At 42.8% G+C, this 23671-nt stretch overlaps 1 protein-coding gene and 2 pseudogenes across 4 annotated transcripts; 1 reads left to right on the top strand and 2 right to left on the bottom strand.

Annotated features, from left to right (window-relative positions):
• On the bottom strand, positions 296-1235 carry RBM22P11 (RNA binding motif protein 22 pseudogene 11; annotated as a pseudogene).
• On the top strand, positions 11070-16061 carry XAGE1B (X antigen family member 1B). 4 transcript variants are annotated; one of them, NM_001097605.2, is made up of 4 exons: positions 11070-11158; positions 12565-12722; positions 13234-13360; positions 15951-16061. In NM_001097605.2, the coding sequence occupies exons 2-3, from the start codon at positions 12611-12613 to the stop codon at positions 13329-13331; spliced, it is 210 nt and encodes a 69-aa protein (NP_001091074.1). In that variant the 5' UTR covers positions 11070-11158; positions 12565-12610; the 3' UTR covers positions 13332-13360; positions 15951-16061. The 4 variants fall into 4 exon arrangements, 3 of the variants coding, with proteins under 3 accessions (NP_001091074.1, NP_001091073.2, XP_016885235.1); NM_001097604.3 differs by having other exon boundaries at positions 11075-11158; positions 12565-12706; NR_033257.1 differs by having other exon boundaries at positions 11126-11478; positions 12565-12706.
• Positions 17956-18235, bottom strand: RBM22P7 (RNA binding motif protein 22 pseudogene 7; annotated as a pseudogene).

Genomic DNA, 23671 nt, shown 5'->3' with positions numbered 1-23671 from the left:
GGCCCTGCTTCCATCTTACAAGAACTCCTTCAGCTCACAGCACCAAGAAAAATCCTGGGCAAGTGAGGGTCCAGGAGGCCAGGTTCCTACGTCTATTCTCCTTGTCAGGTGCATTTTGCCACTGGGAAAAGTCAGAAAAGGTGGCCTCAGTCCATGTAAGCAGGCTCCAAAGTAGGCACCATAGCTGCAGGGGGAGAAGGAGCTCCTGGCGGCACTGGAATAGGCTCTGGCAGGATCCCAGATTCTGTGATTCTGTCCCCCGCAACCTGTTTTTTGTTTTGTTTTTTTTTTTGTTTTTTTTTTTTTTTTTTCCCCTTGAGTGCTTGGAATCGTCCCCATTTTACACGGAGTCTGCAGCCATTGACAATCAGTTTATTAGAGGACTTGTCGGCACCCACTTCTGTAGCCACCCTGTGGAAAGCTGGATGAAAGGCACACTGCTATCTCTGCACAACGGTGACCATCCGGATCTCACCAACAGGCAGAGACAATTTCTTAAATCTGTCTGAGTAATGGTATCCGCCAGATCACCAACATACACTCTGGTGGAATCCTTCTCTGCTGGTGATTCAAGATGAAGCGTGGTTGAAGCCTGCTTTAGAAGCTTATCTGCTACAGGGTCATTGTTTCCACAATATCGATCTTTAATATTTTGACCAGCAAGAGGGGGTCATCGGGATCTGCAGGCTTCTCATGTCTTTACGGACAGTCCTCTCCTTTCACCTGGACAGAACAAATGTAAGGCTTATTCCTCAGCCAGTACAGTGTGGTCCGGGCCAGTTTGAGCAGCATCTCACTACTGGACGTGGCTTTCCCCAGCAGAGCAACTGGCCATGTTCTATCAGGGTTAGAAATTCCTCTGTCCATATCTGCAGTCACCTTTAAAGGCAAGTCTGTGTCATGAACCTGTATGGGCAGTCATACTCTAGGTCTAAGAGGCAAGTCTGACAGACATTTCCTGCAGGCTTGGCCCCCTTCAGTCTTCTTGGGATGCATGTGCTCCCCCGGGCACCAGCCAAACACTGAATGGCCTGACAGAGTTTGCATTTTTTCTCATAGTTCTCCTTGGTCATGTTTCTCTGAGACATATCTGGCACAGAATGGAGAAATCGACGTCCTCCCAGTTTTGCCTGTTTTAGGCGCTGGAACCCAGAGAGGTCGCCATCTTGAGAGGGTCGGCAGGCAGCAGTAGATTTCCAGGTGGGAGAGAGGACCCCCAGAATCCCACCAGACCCAGCTCTCCTTCCTGGTGCTGTTCTTGAGGCCCTGGATAATTGCCTTTCACCATACGTGAGTCATCTTTCTTGAGTCAAGGTGAACCTCACTTCCAAGGAATCCCCATTCTTGTAGGACACTCTGTGCTTCCTGGTCTCTCCAGGAGCTGGCTAAAATTCTATGCTTTTTCATTGGAATACTGAGATAGACAGAAGTGCAGTTTTTTTACAAGTGTCTTTATCCAGCCATGGCATTAATTTCCCGTTTGGTAGGAGGACAATAGTCTTATTTTCATCAGTATGTGTAGTGCATGTTAGTGCACAGCATGAACCTTAGAGGAAGACTTCTACCTTGAGATGTGAAATGCATCAATACTTGTGTGGAGTTAATAAACCTGCTCTACCTCCACAAGTGTCAGCTTCCTCACCCATACAATGGGGATCACACAACGACTTCTTCAAGTTGTTGCCAGAGTTACATTCACCAAGATATTTAAAAGTACCTAACTACAAGGGTCCACAGCATTAATAAAACTGCATCAGACTTCAATGCACACAAAAGGAATAAAGTACATGCGTCCAAAGACGAGATGAGCAGCTTTCTAAGCAGCCTGATGAGCATCAGAATGAGATCTACATTTAAGTAGAATTCTTCACAGCTCCACTGAAGAGGACACACATGGGGGCTCCAAGAAGATAAGCACATGGCCATTGCACAGTAACTGGTGTAGTGTGGATGGAATCCCTGAAGACCCTCTGAAATATCATTACACAACTGGCTCTCAGGGAACACTGGAACAAATCAGGAAACTCAGCAGATGCTACCAGGAACTGGGTGAGCAGAGGGGGGTCACATCCACAAATTTAAGCAGAAGACACCAAACCGCAAGGAGCTCCTGGCTCTGCAACAGCAGCTGTGGTGGCATCGGGGCCAATCTTCTGAGACAGCTGCTGTGGGATTGCTGAGACCATGTGTTTTTGCAGCCACACACCCAAAAGCAGTGCATTTGAAAACGGATCACAACACTCTCCTCTCCATTCATCTTTGTTTTAAGATGACTGATGATGGATACCCTCACATTGCAACATCCCCACCAACACTTGTGGACAATCGTATTTAGAAAATCCCACCTAAAGAGGGAACAGTCAGGAGTAGGATGAGAATATTGAGGGATGGGGGAGAGATGCGGGTACTTCACCCCAGACTCTGTTTGAAACAAGAGCCATTGTGCTGTGGTCTCCCTATACTTCCTCATTTTGCCGCATTCGTAGATGCCACCTGGTTTTTGTCCCTTTACTTACAAAGGTGCTGATGAGCCCATGGGTGGTTAATCCTGAAGGAGGAAATTCTTCACAAAATACAATAACAGAGTCTAATTTCAATGACCAGGTTTTTTAGTTTTTTTTTTTTTTCATAGTATCCCACATTAAAAATCACAAATGAAACCTGTTGGAATGTGTGATATGAACAAAGTCTTATTTTCATGCAGATTAACAACTTGGCTTTTACGGATTACACATAAAAGCATAAAAGCTGGTACCATCCCAGAATCAAAGGAACAGTCCCAGAGGACATACGGAATTTAGTGACATCAATTATTAAGAGGCTACACGAAACTGGAAGTGCTCCCAGAAGTTTTCATTGTCTAGACAGAAAAATTCAAGACATCAGCCCCATCGAGTAAAGGTACGTCCCCTGGCTGCCGTGGGTGATGAGCTTTTCATTCAAAGCAGAGATATGAAGCCTGAGGTGTCTCAAAGTCACCCCAAGTGCTCCACACCTTGAAAGTCACTCCCACAAAGCTGGAACACCATCTGTTCCTGAAGGATCAGGTCATGACCTGTATCTTTGAGACACTGGGCAGTCAGGCCTCAGTTGAGATGAAGCCAATGATTTCAAGTGTAAAATACCTAAAACCAAATCTTTAGGTATCTATTAGCAGCCCCGTCCACTTAAATGGGTTGGTGAACATGGCCCATCAGACAGACACACACCTGAGCACTGGGGTTTTCTCCTCTGTTCTTAGCATCCCCTGGGTAAACCAGTAATTACCCTCCCTCATGCCTCAACGTTCACATCTGTGAAAAAGGTGATGGGGAGAGTGGCCTTTCCAGGAAAGCGGAGCACATGTCAACACCTGCTAAGCTCTGAATTTGTGCGTGGGCCCAGGCGACGGATTTCTCCAGAAAGCGGCTGAACTGGGACTCTGGCTGAAGAGAGCGGAGGTCAGCAGCACAATGCACAGCCCCTGGGACCTCAGGCCAGTTCCATAGCAGCTTAGGAAAGCAGTTGGGTCCCTAGGCTGGAGGAGGCCCGGTGCTCTGGAAAGATCCAGGGTGCGGGTGGAGAGGAAACGGAGCTGAGCAGTGAGAGGTGGGGTGAGCACCACGTCCATCCGGTTTGGGCAAAGGCAAGGTGTCCTTTGCAGTGTCACACCCTCCTCACTACTGAGCCCAGAACTGCCTCTCATGGCCTTCTCCAGACTCACTTCCCATGGCCAGGAGGTGGCACATGATCAGTAGCCGGCACATGATCAGTAGCCAGCATCATTCTTCTATACAGTTAACTTCTTATTGACTACCGTCTCTCGGCTGTGCTATCAAATAGGACGTCTTATTCAGTCTTTCTAACTATGTTTTTGGTACCCATTACCATCCCCACATCCCCCAAGCTCCCCACTACCCTTCCCAGCCTCTGGTAACCATCCTTCTACTCTCTGTGTCCATGAGTTGAATTGTTTGGATTTTTAGATCCCACAAATAAGTGAGAACAATTGATGTTTGTCTTTCTGTGAATGGATTATTTCACTTAACATATTGATCTCCAGTTCCATTCATAGTTTTGCAAATGAGTGGCTCTCAATTTTTTTTATGGCTGAAGAGTACTCCCTTGTGTGTATGTGCCACATTTTCTTCATTCCTCTGTTGCTGGACGCTTAGGTTGCTTCCAAATCTTAGCTATTGTGAACAGTGCTGCAACACACATGGGAGTGCAGATATCTCTTCGATATACTGCTTTCATTTCTTTGGGGCATAAACCCAGCAATAGGATTGCTTGATCATATGGAAGCTCTATTTTTAGTTTGTAGAGAAACCTCCAAACTGTTCTCCGTAGTGGTTGTATATTACATTCCCACTGACAGTGTATGAGGGTTCCCTTTTCTCCACATCTTCGCCAGCATTTGGTATTTCGTGACTGTTGGTTAAAAGCCATTTGAACTGGAGTGAGATGATATCTCATTGTAGTTTTGATTGGCATTTCTCCAAAGATCAGCGATGCTGAGCACCTTCTCACATGCCTGTTTTCCATTTGTATGTCTTCCTTTGAGAAATGTCCACTCAAATCTTTTGGTGATTTCTTGATCAGATATTAGATTTTTTCCGATAGAATTGTTTGAGCTTCCCGTATACTCTGGTTATTAATCCCTCGTGAGACGGGTAGTTTGCAAATATTTTGTCCCATTCTGTGTGCTGTCTCTTCAATGTGTTGATTGTATCCTCTGCTGTGCAGAAGCTTTTGAACTTGATGTGATCTCATTTGCCCGTGTTTGCTTTGGATGCCTGTGCTTGTGGGGCATTACTCAAGAAATTTTCGCCCAGGGAAATCTACAATCTAAATGTCTTGTAGAGTTTCCTCAATATTTTATTGTAGTAGTTTCATAGTTTGAAAGCTTAGATTTCTTTAACCCATTCTGATTTGATTTTTGTATATGGTGAGAGATAGGGGTCTAGATTCATTCTTCTGCATATGGATATCCAGGTTTCCCAGTACCATTTATTAATGAGACTGTCTTTCCCCAGTGTATGTTCTTGGCACCTTTGTGGAAAGTGAGTTCACTGTAAGTGTGTGGGTTTGTTTCTGCTTTCTGTATTCTGTTCAATGGGTCTATACGTCTGTTTTAATGTCAGTACCGTGCTGTTTGGGTTACTATCTCTCTGTAGTATGATTTGAAGTCAGGTAATGTGAGTCCTCCAGATTTGTTCTTTTTTGTTTAGAATAGCTTGGCTATTCTGGGTCACTTGTGGTTCCATATGAATTTTGTGATTGCTTTATCCATTTCTGTGAGAAATGTCACTGTCTGTTGTTGTTTGTTTTTTTTTTTTAGGGATTGCACTGAATCTGCAGATTGCTTGCTTGTATATGTTTTAGAATGAGTTTTGCTAGCTAGTGTCCTTCAAATAATTTTTTCTTTCAATATAAATATAAGTTTTTGGATAACATTTCTTGAAAGGTTCCCTGTTGTACATTTAATATCTAAAGGATCTGTATTGACGTAACGACCCTCTGGGTTTGCTGATATTAATATTTGTAGTCTCTGTGTCTCCCTCTCTCATCAGTCTGGATAAAGGTTTATTAATTCGAGTTGTCTTCTCAAAGAAACAATGTCTGGGTTTCACTGATAATTTCTATAGATTTTTATCAATTCTATTTAATTCATTTTTCCTCATGTCTTTTAAATTTTTTCCTTCTTTTTTTCTCCTTTTTTTTTTTTTTTTTTTTAACAGAATCTCGCACTGTCACCCAGGCTGGAGTGCAGTGGCATGATCTCGGCTCACTGCAGCCTGCACCTCCCAGGTTGAAGAGATTCTCCTGCCTTAGCCTCCCGAGTAGCTGAAACTATAGGCGTGCACCACCAGCCCAGCTAACTTTTGTATTTTTAGTAGAGACCGGGTTTCACCATGTTGGCCAGGCTGGTCTCGAACTCCAGACCTCAGGGGATCGGCCACCTCAGCCTCCAAGAGTGCTGGGATTACAGGCATGAGCCACTGTGCACGGTCTAACAGTTTTCCTTCTGACTTTGGGTATAATTTGATTTCATTTTTCTAGTTTCTTAATGTGGAAACCTAGATAATTGATTTGAGACTTTTCTTCCTTTCTGGCATAAGTATTGAAGGGTATAAATTTCCCTCTATGCTTTAGTTTCATCTTGCAAAGTTTGATAAGTTGAGTTTTCATTTTAAAATTTTTTCCTGCAATTTCTTCTTTGATCTCTGAGTTACTTAAATGTGACATTTAATTTCCAAGATTTCATGAGTTGCAGACATCTTTCTACAACTAATTTCCATTTCAATTCTTTTTTTGGTCATAGAACATGTTTTATAACATTTCATTCCTTTTGAATTTGTTGAGATTTGTTTTTTGGCCCACAATATGGTCTATCTTGGTGAACATTCTATGAGCACTTGAGAAGAATGTGCATTCTGCTGTTGATCTATGAATATCAATTAGGCCATGCTGTCTGATAGTGTTGTTCAAGCCTTCTGCATTTATATATCCTGATTTTTTGTACACTTTTTCTACCAAATGCTGGGAGTAATGGGGAAGTCTTCTACTAAAGGCACATGTGTTTATTTCTTCTTTGTGATGATGTATCAGTTGTCCCTCAAGTATTTTGAAGTTGCCTACATATCCGTGGTGTTTCTGTCTTCTGAATCAATGCACCTCTCTATGATTATTATGTAATGTCCCACTTTGTCCCTTGTAGTAATCTCCACTATAAAGTGTGCTTTGTGAGATACTAATTTCACACTTTGAGTTTATGTGATTCATATTTGCAGGAAATATCTTTTTCCATCTTTTACTTGTATCTTATTTATTTGTAGAGTGGGGCTCTTTTTTTCAAGATACAGATTACTGATAAATATACTGTGAAAATCAAGATCCTCTTGCAACTGTGCAACAACAATAAAAGTACCGAAAAATTAGATGCAGAAGTTAATATACAACTAAAATGTTACGCAGAAATCCACAGAATAATCTGCTCGGCTCTTCAAAAGAACCTCAATCAAACTCTTTGACAGCCTTCATAGAAAGATATCTTCACATTAAAGTGGTATATTTATATGAAAAATATAATTTTATCCCCCTATTTTCTACAGTAGGGTTTTGGGTAAAATTTCATTTCACGAAGGTGTTCTTTTGCTAAAAATCCTTTGAGAAACAACTATATAAAATGATCTCTCAGAGCTCTCTTAGCTTTGAAATGTGGAGATTCAAATATCCCTCTGTAGATTGAGGAGGAGATGTAAAAAAAAAAAACAAAACAAAACAAAAAAAAAAACAAAAAAAACCACGGGGGAGGAAATGTTGGTCTCCTGCACTTTTCTTTTCTTTTTCTTCCTAGACTAACCAGTTTGTGTTGGTCCTCCGCTGAGCTGTTAATCCAGGGAAGAGTTGCCCTTCTGAAGAATATGTGGATTTAATGGAGACCAAGGCAGGTTTGAATCGCTCAGAAACAACAGCCAGAATAACTTTTGAAGGGCTGTAAATGAAGATGATTCAAATCCTCTGATTTATGTTACTTTTCACTCAAGTTTCTAAAAGTGCCTTCCCATCAAGAGCTGTTTGGCTAGGGACAGAAACGTTTGTTCAGCCCTATTTTTCTCTTCCTTCCTTCCTTCCTTCCTTCCTTCCTGCCTCCCTTCCTGCCTCCCTCCCTCCCTCCTTTACTTCTTTCCACCCTCCCTCCCTCGCTCCATTTGTCCTTATTTTCTCCCTTCCTCCCTGGCTCCCTTCATGCCTCACTCCCTTCCTTCTTTCCTACCTTTTATAAAAAGAAGTGAACTGATATTTGTAAAGTAGAAAGATCAGAAGAGTTCACAATTATTTTCGAGTTTTCTTTTAACTTTTATTTTGGGTTCAGGGTGCATGTGCAGGTTTGTAATATAGGTAAACTCATGTCATGGGGTTTGTTGTACAGATTATTTCATCACCCAGGTAGTAAGGCCAGTGCCCATTAGTTATTTTGTTGATCCTCTCCCTCCTCCCAGCCTCTACCCTCTGATAAGCCCCAGCGTGTTGGCCCTCTCTGGGTGTCCATGTGTTCTCAGCAATTAGCTCCCATTTATAAGTGACTTCATGTGGTATTGGGTTTTCTGCTCCTGCATTAGTTTGCTAAGGATAATGGCCTCCAGCTCCATCCGTGTTCCTGGAAAGGACATGATCTCACTGTTTTTTATGGCTGCATAGTACTCCATGGTGTATATGTACCACATTTTAAAAAGTGCAGTCTGTTATTGATGGGCATTTAGGTTGATCCCATGTCTTTGCTATTGTGAGTAGTGCTACAATGATCATACATGTGCATGCGTCTTTATAATAGAAAGGTTTATGTACCTTTGGGTATAGTCCCAGCAATGGGATTGCAGGGCCAAATGGTATTTCTGTTCTTAAGTCCGTGAGGAATTGCCACACTCCTTTCCACAATGGTTGAACTAATTTATACTCCAACCAACAGGGTATAAGCGTTGCCTTTTCTGCACAAACTCACCAGCGTCTGTTATTTTTGTTCTTGCTTTTTATCCAGCCTTATAGACTCTGACTCTGTTTTTTGAGACAGGATGTCTTTCTGTCTGTGAACGTGAATTCCGCTGGTGTCTGAGACTTGCCAGGATTCCAGCTCTCTCAAATGCCTGTGTTCGAACTTTATGAATTTGCTACATTTTCACTGGTTTTCTTCTTACCCCCTGTTATGGCTGTCACTTCTTCCACACATGCTCTGCCACAGGTGATGCAGTTTGTTTGTCTCATCCCTCCTCAGAGGGACTAAGTCACCATTTTGGATCAGTTCCCATGGCTGCCTTGTTACCTCAGGTCTCTCATGATCTAAAAACAAAGCAAAACAAAAGATAACGTTATAGATTATTAGGCTGTTTTTCATTTTCAAGGCTAAAGTGACTTTCTCTTGAGGCTTTCTAAATCTTACCTGGTGGTAGAACTCTCCTTTGTTAATCTTTTGACTACTGGTACAAAAATACAGCATTCAAATATGTGAAGTAAAAGATAATCCAGGGGCTAGCTGACTATGGCTTGAGATCTAAATACAGCCCATGGCTTGTTTTGCATAGCCATTGAGATAAGGATTTTTTTCCATTTAAAAGTATTATTGCTAAAAAACACAACACTACGCCACAGAAACTACATGACCCACAAAGACTGAAATAATTACGATCAGATCTGTTAAAGCAAAATTTGGTGATGCCGTATTAATCAAATACCTGTTATTCTGCTTTGCATTATTGCATACATCTTTTCATCCATTAATTAATTTATTTACACACGGATTGAAAATATGGATGTTACTCTATCCCCTCAAGAAAGCGTCCAGCTTTATGATACCATGATTTCAGTCTGGGAAACTTGTCCCAGGGATCAGGTCAATACACAAACATACATTTGAGGTAGGAGACTGGCAGGACTTGTTTTCTGGTCATAACTGAGCCTAGAGCCTACAGTCAGAATCTATGGCTATTTCTGAAACATATACTGTCTGAATGACCTACAGGTATATTCAGGGAAATCAGTTACCAGTCCAGAGATTTAAATGTGAAGTAACACAACCTAAAAAGAAAAGAGTAAACAGGTGTGAATGTATTTATTCTACAGAAGAATTTATTCAATTACGTTTATTGGAAGCATGGCAGAAAACCCAGAACCAGAGAACAAAGTGATTAATAAAAGCATTTATAAAACTGGCCAAGGTGGGAGGATCACTTGAGCCCAGGAAATTGAGACCAGCATGGGCAACACAGTGAGACCACTATCTAAAAAATAAATAAATAATAAATAAACCAATTACCCAGGTGTGGTGTCTGCACCTGTAGTAGCAGGGACTGGGGAGGCTACATCGGGAGGATTGTTTGAGCCCAGGAGATGGAGGCTTCAGTGAGGTATGGTCATGCCACTGCCCTCCAGCCTGAGCAACAGAGTGACACTCTGTCTGGAAAAAAAAATAAATAAAAACGGCTTTATAAATAAAGATATGAAAATAATTTATTTCTTCCACAAAAGGTCTTCCTGAGACACATCCTCCAGTAAGGGACTGTCTGTTCCCAACGTTTCTGAATGCATGAGATTGGACAAAGAGAGACGAAAGCTCTCAAGTCCCTTTTTCTACTACAAACGCCATGGGGATGCGGGTCTGGGAACAGCGGAAAACCCTACCCTGCCCTGAAAAGTCCCTGGCTCAATGTGCATGTCCCTTTCTATGAAAGTTCCTTGCTGCCTATGCGCCTTGCTCTCTAACTTCTGTCCCTCCACAACTGTGAAAGGAGACGTCGTGACTTCCTTCTTTCGTGCTGACTATGACTTAGCCAGTAGGTCTGCAGATCAGTCCTCCCAGAAAGTGAAGTGTGAGTGAGTGTGAGGGGGAGCGTGGGGGGCTTCCTGTGGGTTGTGCCACTTGGTCCATGGCCTCTGAGGTCGTCATCTTTCTACTAAAACTCAGCGATACTGCCATGGCCTTGCTGTTGTGGGGTCCCGGGCATGGGACGAAGGAGGGCCATAGCGGGGAGGAGGGTCAGGTGAGCATGGAGTGAGTTTTTTTTTTTTTTTCACGGAGTCTTGCTCTGTCACCAGGCTGGAGTGCAGTGGCGCAATCTCGGCTCACTGTAACCTCCGCCTCCCGGGTTCAAGTGATTCTCCTGCCTCAGCCTCCCGAGTAGCTGGGAGTACAGGCGCGCACAACCACACCCAGCTAATTTTTGTATTTTTCAGTAGAGACGGGTTTTAACCATGTTGGCGAGGATGGTCTCGATCTCTTGGCCACATGATCCACCCGCCTCCGCCCCCCAAAGTGCTGGGATTACAGGCGTGAGCCACCGCGCCCGGTCATGGAGTGAGTTTTGAAGGCTGACTTTATTTGAGGTATTTGAGTCCTGGTGGGGGGGAACCCACACACAGAGAGGAGGGATTCCAAAGTCGTTAATGGGGACCTGGGAAGGAGCATAGGACAGGGCAAGGCGGGATAAGGAGGGGCACCACAGCCCTTAAGGCACGAGGGAACCTCACTGCGCATGCTCCTTTGGTGCCCACCTCAGTGCGCATGTTCACTGGGCGTCTTCCCATCGGCCCCTTCGCCAGTGTGGGGAACGCGGCGGAGCTGTGAGCCGGCGACTCGGGTCCCTGAGGTCTGGATTCTTTCTCCGCTACTGAGACACGGCGGGTAGGTCCACAGGCAGATCCAACTGGGAGTTGAAGTGTGAGTGAGAGTGAAGAGGAACCAGCAGGCTTCCGGAGGGTTGTGTGGTCAGTGACTCAGAGTGAGAAGGCCCTCGAAGTCGTCGTCCCTCTCATGCGGTGCCACGCCCATGGACCTTCTTGTCTCGTCACGGCCATAACTAGGGAGGAAGGAGGGCCGAGGAGTGGAGGGGCTCAGGCGAAGCTGGGGTGCTGTTGGGGGTATCCGAGTCCCAGAAGCACCTGGAACCCCGACAGAAGATTCTGGACTCCCCAGACGGGACCAGGAGAGGGACGGCATGAGCGGTATGGAAGGGTCCTGGAGACGGGGCATGCTGCGGGCTAGTGACCGCAGCCCCGAGGTCTGTAGAGTGCCTGGCATAGGGGTCCTGTGAGGAGTGCCCACTGCTGTGTAGCAAATTCTCAACTCCACTGTGGAGATTCCAATGGGCGGGGCCCTGAGTTCCTAAAAATGTGACTTTGGGGTGGGGGGGAAGTGGGCCTAGCAAATCATTATGTGACAAAATTGGTGGTCACTGCAGTTTCAGTTCTGTAGCTGTAATTTCCTACTTGTCTCCCTGATGGAGTGTCCAGTTGTGAAACCAACCTCATGGGAAATGCCCTGTGTTTTTTGCCAGGAGCCTTAAGACATCGCTCAGCTAGCTAGACCTACTTAAGTGGCTTTGCAAGCATTCGATTCAAAAGGTGCATACACTTATACTTGCCCGGGGACTTTCAGAGTATTTCTAAATTAAAAAAAAAAAAAATGTCCAAGTTAACATTTGACCATGAAAGCGGTCAAATCTAGTTGTCCTGTCAAGTGCATTTTCCCAATCGCAGTATTCTGCTTGCAGAGTGAAGTATGTGTTGATGAGGACGATCAACATATAGGCCTATGCCAAGAAGTTCACAACCTCCTGAGCTCATTGTGCCTCTGCTTGTGAATGTCTTAACATTCGATGTTTTCTCTTAGCAGAAAGTTATTTTTCTGATAGTGTTGATGGACTAGTATGGATACACTGATAATGGTCTCCCATGCTGATAAAAAATGATCATGGCATCCCATGAAGGAAAGATTAGTCCAGAGGGTTATATTTGGGTTTTGTGTGGGTGGATGATCGTGTGTGCCCAGATTTTGTCCATAACTTCCTCCTCATGCTTATTCAGAACAGATTACACACATTCATCCCAACATTGATTAAAACGGCTTCCAAAGTCCCTGAGGATATCTGTCTTTGAGTAACCTCTCTGAGGGAAGAATAGTGTTATGAAGATTAGGTATACGGGGTAGTGTTGGAGAAATGTCTCTAGACATACTTATAATAAGACATACCTGTGTATTCTGTATATTTATATTATTGACATGTATTAATAACAAAACTTTTTATCTAGACACACACAAACACAGAACCACACAGCCAGTCCCAGGAGCCCAGTAATGGAGAGCCCCAAAAAGAAGAACCAGCAGCTGAAAGTCGGGATCCTACACCTGGGCAGCAGACAGAAGAAGATCAGGATACAGCTGAGATCCCAGGTGCTGGGAAGGGAAAGTATGTCTATGGGGCGGGAGAAGGTCTATGTGTGCATTGTGGCCTATGCCATGAGCAGTAACAGGAGCAAAGAGAACATTAGGAAAAGATACCAAACATTTGCTCAAAGTTGGCTGGAAAAGGGAGAGTATAGTTTGCAGCTTCATGCTGTCCCTGGATATAATGAATCTTCTCTTGTTCTTCGAGATGGATTTTGTATGCTTGAAAATACAGTCCTTACTAAATCACTTGAAACCATTTAATTTGGTGTATAGAAATGTACATTTTTTTATTATGTGGCAGAGGCTCATCTGTCACGCAGTGTGGATTGTTGTGGCATGATCTTGGCTCACTGCCACCTCCAGCTCTTGGGTTCAAGCGACCTCGGCCTCCCAAAGTGCTGAGATTACAGGCATGAACCACTACGCCTGGCTCAGGCTTTATTTCGTAACGCGAAGGAAGAGAATATTATCATTTCCTTATTTATATTTCATGTTGGAATGCTTAAATCGATAACCTTTGTATTTTGAAGTGCGCGACATGGAAGGTGATCTGCAAGAGCTGCATCAGTCAAACACCGGGGATAAATCTGGATTTGGGTTCCGGCGTCAAGGTGAAGATAATACCTAAAGAGGAACACTGTAAAATGCCAGAAGCAGGTATGTTATCCAGCAAGATGCAAAGTTATGTGCTTTCTCATTTACACAGTATTATACTTTTGATAATAGAGGGATAACATTAGTGCTACTTTAAAAACACAGTGCAAATGCAAATGTTCTTTGAAACGTCGTTCAGACCCAAATGCCAGATTGCAAGACTTAAACACTATCAGATACAGAAACAAATTGGGTCAAAGCCATATTGAATCATCAAACGTGACAGCATTTTCTTAGTTTGGTGTATAACCAACAGCTAACAATTTTCAGATTCTTTTCTAATTTCTGCTTTTAACAAACACATAATGCATTTGTAATACCAGTTTGTGTGAAGTATGCTGAGCCCTGAAGCAGATTCTAGTACCAGCTCTACCATAATTTGTGAGAGTCTGGATGAATCGTATAAATTCCACAGGCATCCTTGCTCTTAGTGAAAAGAGTGGATGCACATCAGATAGATTAAAATCCATTTCGTTGCTAATTTCCACATGCTCTGGTTCTGTTGGATAGAAGACCAAGATATTCTGATCTTCATGATTTGTTTATCATAACAATCAGCTTCAGTCCAATTATAGTGTCTGAGTTGAGATTTCATGGTTCCTAGGAAAATGAGCGGGCACTCTGCTTGGTGTTTGTTTTCCTGTGTGGAGCCCTGTATGAGTGTTCTTGTATTTTGCCAAATTCTGAGTTCTCTGTCTCTTAAAGAATAATTGCATTTTAAAGCCTTCCCGCAGTGAAGCCTTGAATGACTGAATGATAAAATGGCAGGAGATCATCAGGTTTCTGTGGCCAGTGAAGTAGAGAGAATGCATGTAGGTCAGTGATGCCCAAGGTGGGTGTAAGATGCTTCTGCTAAGCATGCTCCCTGCCCTCCCGTCAGTCTTCATGAACTACTTCGTGTAATTAGATTGAAGACTCATATAGTAGAGTCACCTCTAACCATACCATAGGTTACATATTACAGGTTTCTGCCTTGAGGCATTAGATGATAGGGTTTGAAGTTCAACAACAGCACTGTGCTAGTTCCTGAGTAGTTGACACAAGTATGTTTTACACATATTTTCCAAATTGGTGACTGTTAATTACAATACCTCCTGAAGTTAAAGGAAGCACCCCATGTTTAAGGGAGAAATTACCTAAGTGTTTTTACTGTACCCTGCTGAACCATTCCATTATACTATTTACATTAAAAGATAGTTCTCAGACGATTTCCAGGAGCCCACTGAACAAGCCTCAGTTGTATTCTTAGGGAGATCATAGCTTTAAATGCACGTCTTATTAAAATAAATAGCACGTTACATGTTAAAGGAAAAGAATACTATGAAATAACAATAAAAGAGCCAGAGAATAAACTTAAAGGAAAAAGAAAGTGGTAGTGAATAAAAGACAGGTACGAATCATTAGTATAAGGAAAAGTAGTTCAAATGTCATAAATTGAAAAGATTGGTGTTTTGAAAATTAGCTACGAATATTCAGTAATTTACACAATCTTGAAGAAACGGAAAAAGCACAACATGGAATATGAACAAGACAGAGTGATTTAATACAGGGCTTTATTGAAAGTGAATACAGTCTTGAACGCTAAGATTTTCAGAGCATGGATGAAATGGTTGGTAAGCTAGGAAGGCATGCATTATTTATTTCTGTAATACCTGATTAAGCATCACAAAGCCTGTGGAAGAAACTGTGAAATTTTCCAGTTGTCCCTCAGAAACATTTACTTTTAGAAACAAATTTTGGCTTTTTCAGCTGTCCTACTCTTGTTTTCCATTCCCGTATCCCTCCATGTGTTCATGTGTGACACAGTTCATAATGCTATCACATATTGATGACAAAACTGATAGTGATAGCTTAAGAGTAATGCGACCATATACTTAATTATACAAATGGGAATACTTTCAAGTGTAAAAAGAGGCATGATTCATGTTGACATCACGGTAGGAGAAAACTGGGTACAAACGGTTGCTGTACCTTAAAAACCACAGAAGGGTAAACGAGCCCAAATAAATATTTTTGCCCTTCTGCGCAATAGAGTAAAAACAAATGCAATGCTGGCCTTTCTATTCACTTTACTTATTCAGTTCCTAAGGTGACAGTAACCGTTTTCTTCCAAGATAGTATTCAGACCATTTCCAGGAGCCCGTTTGGCATGCAGACCACAGATTCAAGCCAGAATATTAAAAGAGTGTTTGCCAAAAATTATACATTTTTCGTAAATTCCTTTTTTGTTTCTTAGGATTTTTGTGTGGTGCTGGTATTTTGAGTAAAACTATGCACAATGTTTGCTTTCTACTTTAAACCCCTTTTTAGTAGGTTCACTTCATTTAATGTGTTCGGACCTTGGACTGTCTTGCTTTCCTTGTAGCACTAGAAAGCAGGGTGTGTTTGAAAAACATCTTTAATGCATACACTTGGACGACTGTTGTCAAAGTCTCTTCAGAGGTCTACATGAATGTAAGCAAAAGGGTGACTCTTAGGCTTCTGGTTTTGTCCATTGTAGAAAACTAAAACTTTGGTGTCTTTTCCATATCCTTAATGTCATTTAAACACAGTTCTGCTAGTAATGTTCCCACCTGTTATGCTTCTGTTATAGGTGAAGAGCAACCACAAGTTTAAATGAAGACAAGCTGAAACAACGCAAGCTGGTTTTATATTAGATATTTGACTTAAACTATCTCAATAAAGTTTTGCAGCTTTCACCAAAGAAGTCTTGCTCATCTTTGGTTCACTTCCTTCCCAGGTATTTGATAATATTGGAAATTGTTTCTGGCTGCGGTTGTCCACGCCTGTAATCCCAGCACTTTGGGATGCTGAGGCAGGAGGATTGCTTGAGCTCAGTAGTTTGAGACCAGATGGGGCAACAAAGCAAGACTCTCTCTCTACAAAAATAAAAGAGTGAATGCATGAATGTATGCAAGTTTGTATGTAGCTATAGCCCCAGCTACTCTAGAGCCGAAGGGTGGAGGATGCCTCCAGCCCAGGAGGTCCAGGATGAGGTTAATTTTTTTTTGAGATAGAGACTCTATTTTTTTTTTTTTTTTTAAAATTCAGTATCATTTTTGAAATTTTGTGTTCTGATTGAGCTGGTATGCACAGGTGTGATATTGTGTAATACATATTTGGTCCTAGACCCTGCTTCCTGGCATACAACTACTACAATTTTTAAAATCTCCACAAAGTGGTGTCTTTTTATATGCTAGTGAGTTGACTCATGGCTGGCAGCACCTAGGTAGCTCTAGTTTGGGGAATAGGAGGGTTGGGGCTTTCAGCTGCCCCTCCCCCCCCCCCAGCATTCGGGAAGAGGCAGAAGGTTAATTTGATCCCCAGTGGCAGGACAACAGTTTAATCAGTCACGCCTACAGAATGAAAACCTCCATCAAAACCAAAAGGACAGGATTCAGACGGCTTCTGGCTAGCTGAACATATGGAGGGCAGCATGCCCCTAGTGGGCACAGAAGCTCCCTACCCCTTTCCCCATACCTTGCGCTATGTCTCTCCTCATCTGCTTCCTTTCTTAGGGTATCCCATTTGCCACAAAACATGTGAGAAGTCCCTAGGCTATAGAGCTGGATGAAAGAATTAGGGCCTAGGTAGGAGTAAGCGGCAAGGAACCAGGGCAACTTGCTGAAGCAAGATGACGGGTCCTACCTACACCGTCTCTTTAGAGGCTATGTCATGAAGTAGCCATGGGTTTCCATCTTGCCTCTCACACAGTGCTCTTGATATGGTGGTCAAGATACTTACACCCTTTGGGACTGTTTTTCCATTTCTAAAGTTGAATTTACAATATGTACACTAAAAATACTTAGTATGAAAAATAAAGGAAATAACATCAAGGAGGCTTTACATTGCAGATAAATTTGGCCTGCTACTTAGATTTCCTTTTTTCCTTTAGATTTCAAACTTTTTCATTTCATTTTTCCTTACAACTACATTTCTGGTGTGTGATAACCTGCTTTTGAATTTCAAGTAGGAATGTCAAGTTCACTTTTAAAATACATTTGAATTCAGAAAATTATTTGATTTAAATATGTTAATTTAATAGCAGTGTAGCCGGTGTCACCCACGGCATAGATTCTGAAGTTGATTTGTAAATAACCGAGGTGTTATAAAGCCAACTGAATGTCAGCAATGTGTGCTGAAAACTTGTTTGCTATGTGTTATGCGGGTGGATCACCTGAGGTCAGGAGTATGAGAGCAGCCTGGCCAACATGGTGAAACCCCATCTCTACTAAAAATACAAAAATTAGCCAGATATGGTGGTATATGCATGTAATCTCAGCTACTGGGGAGTCCGAGGCAGGAGAATCGCTTGAACCCAGGAGGCGGGGCTTGCAGTGATCGGAGATCGTGCCATTGCACTCCAGTCTGGAAAATAAAGAGTGAAACTCTGTCAAAAAAAAAAAGGAAGGAAGAAAGGAAGGAAGGCAGACAGGAAAAGAGAAAAAGAGAAAGAGAAGGGAAGAAAATGAAGAAAGAAAAAGGGGAGAGAGAGAGAGAAGGATGGAGAGGGGGAGGAAGGAAGGAAGGAAGGAAGGAAGGAAGGGAAGTCCCTCTGTCCGTATTTGCAGTCACTTTAAAGGCACGTCTGTGCCATGAACCCGGATCGGCAGTCATACTCTAGGTCTAAGAGGCAAGTCTGAAAGACATTGCCTGCAGGCTTGACATCCTTCATTATTCTTGGGATGCACGTTCTCCCCAGGGCACCAGCCAAACACCGAATGGCCTGACACAGAGTTTGCATTTTTTCTCATAGTTCTCCTTGGTCATTCAGATAATATGGGTTCTCTCTAAGACATATCTGGTGCAGAATAGAGAAGGTTGCATCCTCCCAGTTTTGCCTGTTTTAGGTGCTGGAACCCAGACAGGTCGCAATCTTGAGAGGGTCGGCAGGCAGCAGTAGATTTTCAGGTGGGAAGGAGGACCCCCGCAATCCCACCAGACACAGCTCTTCTTTCTCATGCTGTTCTTGAGGCCCTGGGCAATTGCCTTTGACCGTATATGATTCATCTTTCTTGTGTCAAGGTGAACCTCACTTCCAAGGAATCCCCATTCTTGTAGGACACTCTGGACTTCCTGGTCTCTCCAAGAACTGGCTAAATTCCATGTTTTTCCATCGGAATACTGAGATAGACAACCTTGAAGTGCAGTTTCTTTACAAGTGTCTTTATCTGGCCATGACATTAATTTCGCATTTGGTAGGAGGGTAACAGTCTTATTTTCATCAGTATGTTCAGTGCATGTTAGTGTACAGCATGAACCTTAGAGGAAGACTTCTACGTTGAGATGTGAAATGCATCAAAAGCTTGTGTGGAGTTAATAAAGCTACTCTACCTCTACGAGTGCCAGTTTCCTCACCCATAAAATGAGGATCACAAGATGACTTCTTCAAGTTGTTGCCAGAGTTAAATTCAGAAAGATATTTAAAAGTACCTAACTGCAAGGGTCCACATCATGAATGAAATAGCATCAGATTTCAAAGTACACAAAAGGAATAAAGTACACATGACCTAAGATGAGATGATCAGCTTTCTAAGCAGACTGACGAGCATCAGAATGAGATCTATATTTAAGCGATTTCTTCGCAGCCCCACTGAAGAGGACACACATGGGGGCTCCAAGAAGGTACGTACACGGCCATTGTAGAGGAACTGATGTTGTGAGGGCGGAATTTGAAATGTCATTACACAACTGGTTCTCAGGGAGCACTGGAAGAAACCGTGCAACCCAGCAGATACTACCAGGAATTGGGTGAGCAGAGGAGGGTCATGGCCACAAATCTAAGCAGAAGACACCAAACCACAAGGAGCTTCTGGCTCTGAAACAGCAGCTGTGATGGCATAAGGAGCAATCTTCTGAGATAGCTGCTGTGGGATTGCTGAGAGCACATGATTTTGCATCAATACACCCAAAAGCAGTGCATGTGAAAACAGATCACAAAACTCTCCCCTCCATTCATCTTTGTTTTACCATGACCAATGATGGATACCCTCACGTTACAACATCCCCACCAACACTTGTGGACAAGTATATTTAGAAACTCCCACCTAAATTGGGAACGCTCAGGAGTAGGGTGAGAATATTGATGGATGGGTGAGGGATGTGGGTTCTTCACCTCATAGACTCTGTTTGAAACAAGAGAAGAGCTGCTGTGCTGTGGTCTCCCTATACTTCCTCATCTTGCCACATTCATAGATGCCACATAGTTTTTGTCCCTTTATTTACAAAGGGGCTGATGAACCCATGGGTAATTAATCCTGAAGGAGAAAATTCTTCACAAAGTACAATAACAGGGTCTAATTTCCATGGCCAAGTTTTTTAGGTTTTTTTTTTTTTAATAGTGGCTCACATTCAGGAATCACAAAAGAAACCTGTTGGAATGTGTGATATGAACAAGGTCTTATTTTGATGTAGATTAGCAACTAGGCTTTTACAGATTAGACATAAAAGCATAAAAGCTGGTACCATCCCAGAATCAAAGGAATGGTCCCTGAGGACATACGGAATTAGGGACATCAATTACTAAGAGGCTACAGGAAACTAGAAGTGCTCCCAGAACTTTTCATTGTCCAGATAGAAAAATTCAACAAATCTGCTCTAATAAGTAAAGGTACCTCCCTGACTGCCATGGGTGATGGGCTTTCCATTCCAAGCAGAGAAGTGAAGCTTGAGGCCCTTCAAAAGCACCCCAAGTGCTCCACACCTTGAAAGTCATTCCCACAAAGCTGGAACACCATCTGTTCCTGAGGGATCAGGTCATGATCTGTGTCTTTGAGACACTGGCCAAACAGACTCTGAGTCCTGAATGGATCTTCACTGGGTAACTGCATCTCTATTCCTGCATTCTGCTGAGATGGTTGATGGAGCCATGAGTCACATACCTCACCTCTTAAGCAATCAATTGTCCAGCTACATCCTTGGCCATGTTTTCATGGCATGCTATCTGAATAGGCTGAGAATCTTCCAAATCATCACAGGCTGATTTCTTTTTCTTAGCAGTTCTGTTGTTGATTTATTTCTCCTCTCTTGGATTTTGCTATCAGCAGCAGGGAGAAACATGGCAACATCTTCAATACTTGGCTTAGAAATCTTAGCTAAATACCCACGTTCATCACTTGCAAATTCTACTTTGCATCTAAGAGTATGCAGTTTAGCTAAATTCTCTGCGATTTTCTCATAAGGAATGTGAATCCATGTTTCCAATAACATGTTCCCCATTCCTGTCTGAGACCTCACCGGAAGCACCTTTAACATTCATTTTTCTAGCAACATTCTGTTCTTGATGTTGGATGTATTCTCTAAGATGACAGAAATTTTCTGTATAGCTCTCCTGTTTTTTTCTGAGCACTTGCCAGAATTTATCTTAATGTCCATATGTCTACCAATTGCCCCTTCAAGGAAGTGTAGGCTTTTTCTGTCACTTACTTTGAAACTCTTCCAGCATCTCTTCACGACCCAATTCCAAAGCTACTTTCATGCTGTTAGGTATTTGTTAGAGCCGCACTTCATTTCCTGGTACCACAATCTTTGAGAGTTCTCTAGGGCTGCAGTAACAAATCACCACAAACTCACTGGCTTCAACAACAGACATTTATTGTATCACAGTTCCGGAGGCTAAGAGTCTGAAATCAAGGTGTGGGCAGGGTTGACTCCTTCTGAGGCCTGAATGGAAGAATCTGTTCCATGCCTTTCTCATAGTTTCTGTTGGCTTGCTGGCAATCCTTGACATTCATTGACCAGTAGATGCATCACCCCTATCTCTTCCTTCATGCTCACGTGGTTTTTTCCCTGTGTGCACGTCGTAGTCCATTTTGTGTTGCTATAAAGGAATACCTAGAACCAGGTAATTCATAAGGAAAAGATATTTATTTAGCTCACAGTTCTACAAACTGAGAAATTCAAGGGAATGCATAGCCCTCTGGCTTTCGGTGAGGGATTTCGATCCACATCACAACATGGTGGAGAAGGCCAAAGTGGAAGTGGACACTTGTGAAGAGGGGAAAACCTGAGGGGTGTCGTGGCTTTACAACAACCCACTTTAAAGGGAATGAATCCATTCCTTCAAGAGCTACTCCAGCATTCTGAAACTGAGAACTCACTTACCATTTCACCAAGAGATCAGCACCAAGTTATTCATAAGGGATCCACATCCATAACCCAAACTCATCCTAACAGGCCCCACCTCCCAACACTGCCACGGGAAGTGGGGGGTCAAATTTCTTTTTTTTCCTTTTTCTTTTTTTGAGACAGAGTCTTGCTCTGTTTTCCAGTCTACAGTACAGTGGTGCGATCTCAGCTCACTGCAAACTGTGCTTCCCAGGTTCAAGTGATTCTCCTGCCGCAGCCTCCTGAGTAGCTGGGACAACAGGTGCATGCCACCACTTCCGGCTAATTTTTGTATTTTTTTTTTTATTAGATACAGAGTTTCACCATGTTGGCCAAACTGGTTTTGAACTCCTGACCTCAGGTGATCTGCCCACCTGCCTTGGCCTCCCAAAGTGCTGGGATTACAGGCATGAGCCACCGCACCAGGGCAAGGGGGTCAAATTTCAACATGAGTTTTCCTGGAGACAAACCAACCATACCCAAGCCATACCAACGTCTGTGTACAAATTTCCCCCTCTTCTAATAACAACAGTCATATTAGATTAGGGGCCCACCCAACCTCATTATGACCTCATCTGAAATTAATTATATTTTCAATAACCCTATTTCCAAATAAGGTCACATTCTGCGGTACCTGGGGTTAGGACATCAACATATGAATTTTTCAGGAAACCCAAAATAAACTATGTGTATTTTGCCACAATAAAAAATGTTTAACCTCCTCCTGTGCAGTAAACTGCTTCAAGGGCACCTTTGGAAACATCTCCATGTGAACCTCACTGTCCAGAAAGCTTCTTTCACAATAAACACCATAGAAAGCTCTTGACAGGTATAGTCTCCACAAGAATTTGAACAACAGCCACTCCCATCTCCTCTGCTCTCCCCTGTATTGCTACTTGTTGCTGCTGCTGCTGCTGCTGGAATGTTGATAACTGCTCCTCCCTGGATCCCTTGCAGAGGGTTGTGCGCCACAGTTTACCAGGTATTGCTAATGATATGCCCTATTATAAGGTTTGGGAATTAGAAGTAATTTTTTAGTTCTACCAAAAATGGTTGCAGTGTGAATCATGAATGTGGCAAAGTTTAGGCAGGTGGGAATGGCGAATGTGAGAATTTTCAGCAGGTGCGCATGGTGAATATGGAATGTTTAGGCAGATGTGCATGGTGATTGTGGAATATTTGGGCAGGTGTGAATCGTGAATGTGAAATGTTTGGGCAGGTGTGAATAGTGAATGTGGGAATGTTTGGACAGGTATGAATGATGAATGCAGAATGTTCTGGCAGGTGTGAATGGTGAATGTGCGAGTGTTCAGGCAGGTGTGAATAATGAGTGTGCGAGTGTTTGTTATGGCCCCGGGATTCCCCTACTGATCACCTGCCTCAGGATTCCAGGAGGCAGAGACATTTGGCAGAGGTTTCCTCCAGTTGCCTGACCATCAGGTATATTTCAGTGGACTCCAAATCTAGTATGATTTCCATTATGTCTGTAGGTTTTATGAGACTTGAAGATTCTTCATTACTATTTTCTGTACTGATAATTTAATTAATAATTTTCTGTACATATAATTTAATAACACATGAATTCATGATAAGAAATGTAACAAATTTGACTTTCTCAGTTACATTCCACTCAAAAACACATGAGTTTTGTCTGTTTGACTAGTACTTCCATTCCTGGTAAGGTTCAGCAAGAGCTGAGATTTCTGAGCTTCAGTGACTACATCCTACCTTGCAGGTTACTTGCAATAATGAAATAAATGATAGTGATAATAGTAGTAAAAATAGTAGTAAAAGAAGGCTGGGCTCAGTGGCTCATGCTTATAATCCCAGCACTTTGGGAGGCTGAGGCAGGAGGATCGCATGAGCACAGGAGTTCCAGACCAGCCTGGAGAACATGGCGCAACCCCCCGCCCCTGTCTACAAAAAGGTTAACAAAATTTAGTCCAGTGTGGTGTCACACGCCTGTACTGCCAGCTACTAGGAAGATGACATGGCAGGATCCCTGGAGCAAGGAGTTCCAGACAGTAGTGAGCCATGGCAAAGTCAGTGCACTCCAGTCAGGGTCACCCAGTGAGACTTGGTGTCAAAAATAATCAGTTTTAATATAAAACCAACAGTCATACTGTTACGGACTGACTTCTGTCTGCACGAGATTCATATGGTGAAGTCCTAACCCCTAGAGCCTCAGACTGTAACTGTATGTGAGAT

This window comes from Homo sapiens, chromosome X, assembly GCF_000001405.40.
Source record: "Homo sapiens chromosome X, GRCh38.p14 Primary Assembly".
NCBI classification, from domain to species: Eukaryota; Metazoa; Chordata; class Mammalia; order Primates; family Hominidae; genus Homo; species Homo sapiens.
This window is presented reverse-complemented; position numbering and strand designations above follow the sequence as displayed.